This window comes from Homo sapiens, chromosome 13 (assembly GCF_000001405.40).
Source record: "Homo sapiens chromosome 13, GRCh38.p14 Primary Assembly".
NCBI lineage: Eukaryota > Metazoa > Chordata > Mammalia > Primates > Hominidae > Homo > Homo sapiens.
Genome location: NC_000013.11, coordinates 26,417,569 through 26,428,387, shown reverse-complemented (window position 1 = coordinate 26,428,387; position 10,819 = coordinate 26,417,569). Strand labels below are relative to the sequence as shown.

At 41.2% G+C, this 10,819-nt stretch overlaps 1 annotated feature.

The window, feature by feature from the left end:
- Positions 3,371 to 3,896: an enhancer, noted in NCBI's record as "H3K4me1 hESC enhancer chr13:26998629-26999154 (GRCh37/hg19 assembly coordinates)". NCBI's record gives its function as "activates a minimal SCP1, AML or CMV promoter by ChIP-STARR-seq in naive H9 embryonic stem cells {active_cell/tissue: H9 hESC(naive)}" and the evidence as "EXISTENCE:reporter gene assay evidence [ECO:0000049][PMID:30033119]".

Below are 10,819 nucleotides of genomic sequence, written 5' to 3'. Positions count from 1 at the left end.
TATAGCTACCCTTGCTCTCTTTTGGTTTCCATGTGGATGGAATACATTTTTCCATTTTTTAATATTCAATCTATGTATGTCCTTAAAGGTTAAATGAGTCTTTTATGGGAAGCACATAGTTGGGTCTTTTTTAAAAATCCATTTGGCCACTCTATATCTTTTTATTAGAGAATTTAATCAATTTACATTCAAGATAATTATTGATAGGTAATGACTTACTACAGATAATTTGCCATTTTTTCTAATTGTTTTGTAGATCTTTTGTTCCTTTCTTCCTCTCTTGCTGTCTTCTTTTGTGATTAGATGATTTTTTTTTCTAGTAGTATGCTTTGATACCTTACACTTTATATTTTGTGTATCTACTATAGATTTTTTGCTTTGTAGTTACCATAAGATTTACATAAAACATTTCATAGTTATTACAGGCTATTTTAAGCTGATAACAACTTTACTTTGATTGCATAAAATAATTCTACACTTTTACTCCAACTCCTTTACATTTTGTGTTTTTAATGTCACAATTTGCATCTTTTTATATTGTGTATCCCTTAACAAATTATTGCAGCTATTTTATTTTTAATAGTTTTGTCTTTTAACCTTGATGCTAAAGATATAAATGATTTATATACTACCATTACAGTACTAAGGTATTCTGAATGTGACTGTGTGCTTCTTTTTCTTTTTCTTTTCCTTTCCTTTCTCTTTTCTTTTCTTTTCTTTCTTCCTTAGAGATGGTGTCTCACTACATTATCCAGTCTGGTCTTGACCCCCTGGCTTGAAGCAATCCTTAGCCTCCTGAATAGGTAGGACTACAGGTACATGCCACCATGCTCTGTGCTTAATTTTATCCATGAGTTTTACACTTTCATAGGTTTTTGTGTAACTAATTAGTGTCTTTTTTCTCAGTTTGATTAGAGATTATTTTACCCAATTTTCTTACTTCAAAGGTAAGAAAACTGAAGTCAGAGGTGTTGACAACTGGGTCGATATTATCAGTATGGGTAGAGCCAGGACTAGAACTCAGTGATCCTGGGGCCCCACAGAAACTCTTTCTACCTTTCTGTCCCAGTGGCCATCCACATACTTTCTTACTTTATGTAAAAGCAACTGGGATTCAGGGGCTAATTTTCTGGCTTGTGGGACATTCAGGCCTGAGGATCCCAAGACTTGCTGCATCAGAATCACCCAGGAGTTAAAAATACAGACTCTTGGACCCACCAGAGAATGCAGATCTTTGGAGTGGAGACTAGGAATGATTCCAGCCATTCATGTCACTTCCTTCACTCCCTCTGCTACCTGATCTCTCGTCTATTTTGCTTCTTGTTTGCAAGCTGCAGCTCTGGAGAGGCCTGATACCCTAATTCCTCCAGGAATCCCCACCCTCTTTCATCCACAGAGAAGTGGGTGGACCCTGTGGCCGCAAATGGACTTTGCAGGACATGTCACAGTGAGTGGTAGAGATTCACATGGAGCAAGTCAGGAAGTGGTGTTGGAGCTAGGGAAGTGGAGGATGCTTGTGGCTGCCCTGTCACTCAGGGGATGGTGTGGGCCCTGGTCCTGCATCTGTAGAATCCCATTCAGGGAGTCTCAAAAGCTGAATCCAGCTACTCTGAGGCTTCCTAAACCCTCAGGTCAGCCTATTTCTTGAACCCTCCAGTGTTTAAGTATTAAATAGAGGGATAGCTTTAAATCAGAACATTTTCATTTTAGGAGAGGAATTATAACATGCCTTTGAATAAGGAGCTAGGTTAGCATACTTAAATTGTCATTAGGCTTGCAACACACACACTCTCCCCAACTTGCCCAACTCTCTCTCTCTCATTGCGTCCCTGGAACCCAACATGTTGTCTGGTGCATAGCAGGCTTCAGTGAATGAATGAAGTTTTAAGAGCTGTCCTATTAATTTGTAATCTTGCATCTGTACCTGGAATTCTTTTTAGAGCTCTGGCCAACTCTCAGGGAAAGTGCCCCCTTAATCCACATAGCTGGGGTGTGGCATCTCAGGACCTGATGGGCCAGGGTGGTCATCTGTCCTATGGAGACTCAATCAAGATATCTGTCTGCCTTAAGACATCTGGTGCTTCCATCTTGTTCACTGGCTGTACTTGTCCCTTAAATGAATCATCCAAGCCACTCATTAGGGAAACCAGTTCTTTATGGATCCAGGAGGAGCCTCAGGCTCTCTACCCTTGAGGGCTGGATTGCTGTGAACAACTGCACTCTCCTGGGTCTCTCTTCTCCAGGTCACATGTGCTGTGAGCACTGTCCCCTTGTGACTGTCTCCCGTGGCCAGGACAATGACAGCTGCCTGTGTCCCCCTTTGGAAGCGTTCTGAATACTTACTTGCCTGCCCATCTAATTTCCCAGGCAGGACTGAGCGAGTTCCTTAGCAAGCAGGCTGGCACGACACCAAACCCGTTCAGCACTTAAAACCATTTTCTCCCGGGCCACAGCTCAGTGGCAGCTCACCTGGCTGTGTGATTACCCTTTGGACGGCTGCTTCCTCCCTTCCCTGGAGCTGGTAAATAAATCAAGTGCTTCCTGGTGGACTAAGAAAGTGGGTTCTGTTTAAGGATAAGAGCATCATTTAGACATAATCAAGGATGCAGAAGAGACTTTGGCTTGGACTAAGACAAATCATTTCTAAACCAGTCATTGCTATCTGAACGTGGTAGAATCTCTTTCCACTACAGGACAAGGCTGGGATTGTGCAGCTCTTAAATAAATAAATGAGCTCAGAAATGAGCGTAAGAGGGCTTTGCAAACACAGACTATTCTTGGAATGCACCACTGAGAAATAAATGTTACCTCTGTGTTGATGTGGAGTGGGAGACTTTCATAAACTCTTAGGAGCATGAAATAAACACAGAAGTTAAAAGATGAAAAAAAATCACAAAAACAAAAAGGCATGTGAGTGCCTTTTTAATCATCTACTGATGATTAAAGTAATCTACTGATATGGTTTGATTTCCGAGTAGTGTAAGATAAATATCAATGAAAATTTCATTAAAGAATATTTTTCTCCAGAAAAGAAGCACATCTATAAATAATCTGTAAGCAGAGGAGGTAGTGGTGGATGAGGAATCTCATATCCAGCTTGCTGGTGCTTTTGTTGCAAACAGTCAAAAGTCAGTCAAAAATGGCTTAAAGGATAAAGACATTTACCTGCTTGTGTAACTTGAAAGTCCAGAGGTGAATCAGGCTTCCAGGGCATAGGTGCCTGTCAGGCCCCTGGCTTCTTGCGGTCTCTCTGCTCCTCCATCCTCCCTCCATCACCTTAATGGAACAAGGCAGCTTCATTCCCTCACTGTGGGGGTGAAGGTGCACATTCTAGAGGCTGATGGGCCTGATTTGCATCCTGGCTCTGCTCAAAAGCTGTGCATCATAGGCACAATGTGAACCTCTTAAGCACCGGGCTTCTCATCTGGAAAGTGGGAACAATCATAGAGTTGATGTCCTAGGATTGTTGCATTAAATGAAATGGTGAGATGGTGGCTGGTACGCAGCAGAAACTTCCTAAGTATAGGAGCTCATTCTTGGTCTTTGTGGAACTTACTGAATGGCACCCAGAGCTAGGCACCATGCTAGCTTCTGGAGATGAGAGTAATTGGAAAGACAGATGAGCAACCAGGCTGCTAGGACACAGTGTGGTAGGTATCCTACCCCTGATATCCTTACTCCTACAACAGGGGCTAGGCTGTGGATATGTTAGATCGACACCTTATAGACAACAGAGATGTGCCTGGTGCTGTTGGGGGTGGGGGGAGATATAAGGCTGTTCCTGCCCCCAGGAGCTCCCAGAGTGTGGGCGGATATCGGCAGGAGAACGGGGGTGTTGTGTGGCTCATGTGAGTCCCATCGCAGACCCCCTCAGAGGCTCAGCTTACCCGTGCGGGTGGGGCCCGGGGCCCTAGGCGGACGCCAGCCTCAGCTCCAGAAGTTATCTGCCTGCTTCCATCTAGTGCTCCCCATTCCTCCTACTTCATGAGGGAAAATCTGAGACCCAGAGAAGTGAAGCCATTTGCCAACTCTGTCCCAAGAGCCCAGCTCAGGCCAGAAAGCGGTTCCACGCTCCCTCCGCCAGGACACGACATTTCCTCAGACAAGGAGCCGATGGCCCAGTTTCAGTCTGACTCTAACCCACACATCATCATTTTCTCATTCAGTATCAAAAACCCTGAAAGAAACCATGGTATACAGGGAAGACTGTCTGGCATCTTTTCAGTTTGGTTTGGGAGTTACTGGATGAGAGAGAATGCCATAAACATCATGGTTTCTGGTGCACCTGCCCTTAAGAATTGTGGGCGGGGGGCGGGTGGAACAAGTGCAAAGGAAATAGCATTTGTGAAATGAATCTTTCAAACTCCTTTTTCTTTTTAAAAATGCTTGACTTAGCACACATGAGCTTTTCTTTCCTGTAAAAACGAGTACTGAATGTGAGAGAGGAGCAGGACTGCAGGGCGGACTCAGCTCTGGTTAATGTCAGTGCAGGGCTATGGGCCCTGGCAGAGAACCGTCTGGCTGGCTTGGAGAGAAAGAAATGCCCTGGAAAGGAAAGCAGGGATGTTCTTTAGGGATAGGAATGTGTTGGGAGAAAGTCCTTTTAAGCCAGGGTATAAAGAAGTTGCTAGACCTCCCCATTGCATCAGCCTCAAAGGCAGCAAGCATTCTGATTTCCTTGGAACCAGTGCTATCATCTGCCAGCAAGAACAGCAGCTGCCTTTCTGTCAAAAAAAAAAAAAAAAAAAAGGAAAAGAAAAAGAAAAAAAAAGAAAGAAAGAAAAAGAAAAACGTCACTGAATTTAAGAAGGCAGTGAATATTTTTACTGTGTGGAAAGGATATTTTCAGCACATCTGGGCAAGATCTTAAACTCACCAACTGCTTCATCTAAGATTCTCAAGCTTCCTAGGGATGTTTTATTGCATTTCTTCCAAGTTTTATCACTTTATTTCCAATTTGTATCCTTAGGGGCAGAAGAAAAATGATTTTCTGAATCATGGGAAATGATTCAAGCTGGGGACAATTTGATATTAACTGAGGACACGCAGGAGCCACAGAGAAACTTAGCACTTTCTTATAGATTCTAAAATGCAATCAAAAGTAGCAAATGGTTATTTTTTTCCCTAATTTAATAAAATGACAGAACAAGTTAAGTTATTGAAGATCTGACACTCCATCAGGATTCTGAAGTATTGGGGAAATTGAATTACTCTTTCTAAATAATACAGAAGGGGAAAATGAAAGTATTAGAGTCACCATGCCTAAGAATAAATGGAGACATGTTTAGTTTTATGAAGAAATTCAGTCCTTGAGATTTCTGGGTATTTTCCCCCCGCTTAACAGTCAATTCAACCAAAGGGAAAGGAACATTTCTTCCTAGATACTACAATGTGCCATTTAAATGACTTTCCTGGTACGTGTGGCCTAGGAAACCCACAATCTGTGTAGGCAGGGTGGTCGTGATAAAGATGACATTTGCCTTTGAAACACGCTGGTATGCCAAAAGAATCGGAGGCATAATTCTGAAAATGTGGAAAGAGAAATGAACATACTTACCTAGTTCAAACTTGTGTTAATGAATACCATGTTTTAATTCGTAATGTGTGCTTTCATAGCATAGAGAACTGGTAAAACCAATCTTCTAATATTTCGTTCCCTGAATTAATTGCTACCTCTCAGGAAAAATACTTCCAAATATATTCAAGAGTGCTTATGGTATTACATCCTTTGCAAGAAAGTGACAGTAAAAATTACTATATATCCCTAAATAAAAAGTAAATTTTTTCTCTCATTATTATTCAAAATAGGGGAAATCAGTGACAAGCAATATCTTATAAATGGATTGGTTATGAATAGGTTACAAATTGGTTAGTTGAGGAAGACACAGTGATTTAAAAAAATATGGTTACCAGTTTTAGCAAATAAAAACACAGGTTGCTTAGTTAAATTTAAATTTCGGATAAACTACCTTTTTTTGTAGTATAGGTATGTTCTGTGCAATATTTGGGACGTAATTATACCAAAACATTTTTGTTGTTTATCTAAAATTCAAATTTAACCAGGCTCCCTGGATATTATCATGCAACCCTAGTCTAAACTAACCTTGAAATGCTAGTTTTGGATGAATATAGTGGTCATCTGATGGAACAGATGGTTTGAAAAAGAGAACAAGACATTGAACAGGTTTAGTATTCAGGAATTATTCTTGGGGGTGGAATACACTCAATTACAATTTGTTGGATGTATTGTATTGGAAACAAGCCTTATTAAAATCACTTACAAGGCCGGGCGCGGTGGTTCATGCCTGTAATCCCAGCACTTTGGGAGGCCAAGGCGGGTGGATCACGAGGTCAGGAGTTCAAGACCAGCCTGGCCAAGATGGTGAAACCCCATCTCTACTAAAAATACAAAAAAAAATTAGCCAGGCATGGTGGCGGGCACCTGTAATCCCAGCTACTCAGGAGGCTGAGGCAGAGAATTGCTTGAACCTGGAAGGCAGAGGTGGCCGTGAGCCAAGATCGCGCCACTGCACTCCAGCCTGGGTGACAGAGCAAGACTCCGTCTCAAAAAAAAAAAAAAAAAAAAAAAATTACTTACCAAGCCACACAGTAAATGTCTTGCATATGGTGACTGCCAAATGGAAAAAAAAAAAAAAAAAAACGACACAACTAGCTGTTTCCTGAAACGTGAATGCACACTTGCCGCCTGGGTAAAATGTCCAGCAACATACATAGAAAGTCAGATAGTGCTGAAGCTCAAGCAACTTCGATGGCACAAAGATGATGTTTTAGATAACTCAGATGATAGCAATGAAAAATAAATTATTAAAGTCAAAAATGCATATGAGAATTTAAATAGAATCATTTCAGTGATTCAGCAAGAGTGGGAAAAGGCAATCCTTTAAAATAATGTATTAGTTGATCTAGTGTGTAATTTTATATATTTGTAACTTACTTGAACACTGCAATGTAGATATTTAAGCATTCTGTCTCCAGCCCTTAAAGGAGATGTATTTTTTTCTTCTTTCTTTTATCAATCTCCTCATTGGGAAAGCAAAGGCTCACATTATATACCAGACTGCTTAGTGGTTTGAGCATGGTCCAAAAATATTCGGACAAAATATTGGGCAATTATGGATATCATGTTCATAAATTTCAGGACAATGCATTGATTGTCTTATCAGGATCAAACTCAGGTGTACCTCAATGCTAAGAAATTTGTGAGCCAGCTTCAAGTTTGCACCCATTTAACAAATGGTCACCAGCTGTAACTCCTACTGCCAGCCAAGAGGGAGTAATGGGACCTGATTTACCCTACCCCCTTAAACAATTAGAAAATTGGACAAAATGTATTTAAAAACGTTTTTCAGACACCAAACAAAAGGCAGCACAGTATTGTGATTCCTGAGAAGCAATGTGTGTTTTATTATTGCCTGAGCTTACCACTTAAAAGCAGCTGGCAGGCTGCAGTGCAGAGAGGAAAATCCAAATAAAACCCAGTGGTCTTTGTGTGTTGAACAGATCAAAGCTAAGGTGGCTGGAATTTAAGAAAAGGTGTGTTGGGAAAGAGGGAGCTACGGCAGGGAAGTGGACATGGCTCTGGAAACACACAGCGGGTTCTGTCCAGCCTTTGAGTACTGATCTGTGTATGCGTGACAAGAAACTATCTGAGGTCAGACAAAGAATCCTGAAAAAGAGTAGGCAGAACAATTCCTAGAGTTCAAACAAGGCTGAGAATAGTCCGTGTTTCTACCAGTGAAGAGTTGTAGCTGGGGCATCTGCCAGAATTCTCAGAAGAATGTTTCTGTAGCAGTGGGGCTTCATTAGCCCTGGACTAAAAGTTATTCTGGACCTGACACATTAGGCTTAAGAGCAAGCATCAAAAGGATACAGCTGACTCCAAGTGATTTAACAGTGTGCCATAACAAAATCCAGCACTAAACAAACATAACAAGATACAGCAACCAACACAGCAAATTAATGATGCTCAGCATCCAATAAAAAATTACCAGGCATACAAAGAAGAAGAAAAATATGACTCCTAAATGGAAGAAAAATCAATCAATAAACCTGGATCCAAAAATAACAGAGATACTAGAAGTTGGAGATAAGGATGTTTGAAAAGCCACTGCTCCATATTCAGATACACCTTGGAGATATTGTGGGTTTGGTTCCAGACAACTGCAATAAAGCAAATAACACAATAAAGTCAGTCACATGAATTGCTTGGTTTCCCAATGCATATACAAGTTAGGCTTACAGGCCGAGGCAGGAGGATTGTTGGAGGCCGGGAGTTCTAGACCAGCCCAGGCAACATAGTGAGACCCCATCTCTAAGAAAAAAAGAATAGCTGGGCATGGTGGCACACACCTGTAGTCCTAGCTACTTATGAGGCTGAGGTGAGAGGACTGCTTGAGCCCAGGAGTTCCAGGTTGCAGTGGGCTATGATCGCACCACTGCACTCCAGCCTAGGCAACACAGTGAGACCCCATCTCTAAAAAAAAGAAATTATGCTTACACTATACTGTAGTCTATTAAGTGTTTAATAGCATTATGCCTAAAAAAGCAATGTATCTACCTTAATTTAAAAAGACTTTATTGTTTAAAAAATGCTAACATTCATCTGAGTCTTCAGCAAGTCAGAATCTTTTTGCTGATGGAGAATCTTGCCTTGATATTAATGGCTGCTGACTGATTGGGATGGTGGTTGCTGAAGACTGGGGTAGTTGAGGAAATTTCTTAAAATAAGACAAAAATGAAGTTCAACTCTTCCTTGTCATGAAATATTTCTCTGTAGCATTCAATACTGTTTGATAATATTTTAACAAGATATCTGGGCATGGTGGCTCACACCTGTAATTCCAGCACTTTGGGAGGCCAAGGCAGGTGGATCACCTGAGGTCAGGAGTTCGAGACCAGCCTGGCCAACATGGTGAAACCCCATCTCTACTAAAAATACAAAAATTAGCTGGGCATGGTGGTGGGTGCCTGTAATCCCAGCTACTTGGGAAGCTGAAGCAGAAGAATCGCTTGAACCCGGGAGGCGGAGGTTGCAGTGAGCCGAGATCACGCCACTGCACTCCGCTTGGGTGACAGGGCGAGACTCCATCTCAAAAAAAAAAAAATTAAAAATATTTTACCCATAGTAGAACTTCTTTCAAAATTAGACACAATCCTCTCAAACCCTGCTGCTGCTTTATCAACTAAGTTTATATAATATTCTAAATACTTTGTCGTTATTTCAACAATGTTCACAGCATCTTTTTCAGGAGTAGATTCCATGTCAAGAAACCACTTCCTTTGCTCATTTATAAGAAGCAACTCCTCATCCATTAAAGTTTTATCATGAGATTGAAGCAATTCAGTCGCATCTTCAGGCTCTACTTCTAATTCTAGTTCTCCTGCTGTTTCCACCACATCCACAGTGATCTCCTCCACTGAAGTCTTGAACCCCTCAAACTCCTTCATGAGTGTTGGAATCAACTTCTTCCAAACTCCTGTTAATATTGATATTTTGACCTTCTCCTATGAATGACTAATGCTAATGACATCTTGAATGGTAAATCCTTGCCAGAAGGCTTTCAATTTATCTTTTCCAGATCCATCAAAGTAATCACTACCTATGGCACCTGCGGCCTTATGAAGTATGTTTCTTAAATAATAAGACTTGAAAGTCAAAGTTACCCCTTGATCTATGGGCTGCAGAATAAATGTTAAGTTAGCAGGCAGGGAAACAATATTCGTCTCCTGTATACCCCTATCAGGGTTCCTAGGTGACCAGGGGCATTGTCAATGAGCAGTAATATTTTGAAAGAAATCTTTTTTTTTCTGAGCAATAGGTCTCAATGGTAGGCTTAAAATACTCAGTGAACCATGCTGAAAACACATGTGCTGTCATTGAGGCTTTGTTTTTCTATTTCTAGAGCACAGGCAGAGGAGATTCAGTACAATTCTTAAGGACTATAGGATCTTAGGAATGGTCAACGAGCATTGGAGTCAACTTAAAGTCACCAGTGCATTATCTCCCAGTGATAGTCAGCCTGTCCTTTGAAGCTTTCAGAGCTTCCATCCTTTGAAGCTTTCAGAGCTTCCGTCCTTTGAAGCATTCCATCAATGATGTTATCTAGACCTTCTGGATAACTTGCTGCAGCTTCTTAATCAGAACTTGCTGCTTGCACTGTTATGTTCTGAGGATGGCTTCTTTCCTTAAATTTCATAAACCCACCTCTGCTAGCTTCAAACTTTTCTTCTGTAGCTTCCTCACCTCTCTCAGCCTTCACAGAATTGAAGAGAGTTAGGGTCTTGCTCTGGATTAGACTTTGGCTTAGGGAATGCTGTGGCTGGTTTGATCTTCTATCCAGACCGCTCAAACTTTCCCCGTATCAGCAATAAGTCTGCTGTTTTACTTTCTTATCATTTGTGTGTTCACTGGAGTGACAATTTTAATTTCCTTTAAGAGCTCTCCTTTGCATTCACAACTTGGCTAACTGTTTGGTGCAAGAGACCAAGCTGTCAGCCTATCATGCCTTTTGACATGCCTTCCTCAGTAAGCTTAATTGTTTCTAGCTGTTGATTTAAAGTAAGAGACATGCAACTCTTCCTTTCACTCAGACACTTAGAGGCCATTATAAAGTTATTAATTGGCCCAATTTCAAAATTGTCATATCAGGGAACAGGGAGAATAGAGAGGATAGGGAGAGAGACAAGGAAATGGCCAGTTGATGAAGCAGTCAGAACACACACAACATTTATAGATTAAATTCGTTTTTTGTTTGTTTGTTTTGAGACAGAGTCTCGCTCTGTCGCCCAGGCTGGGCCC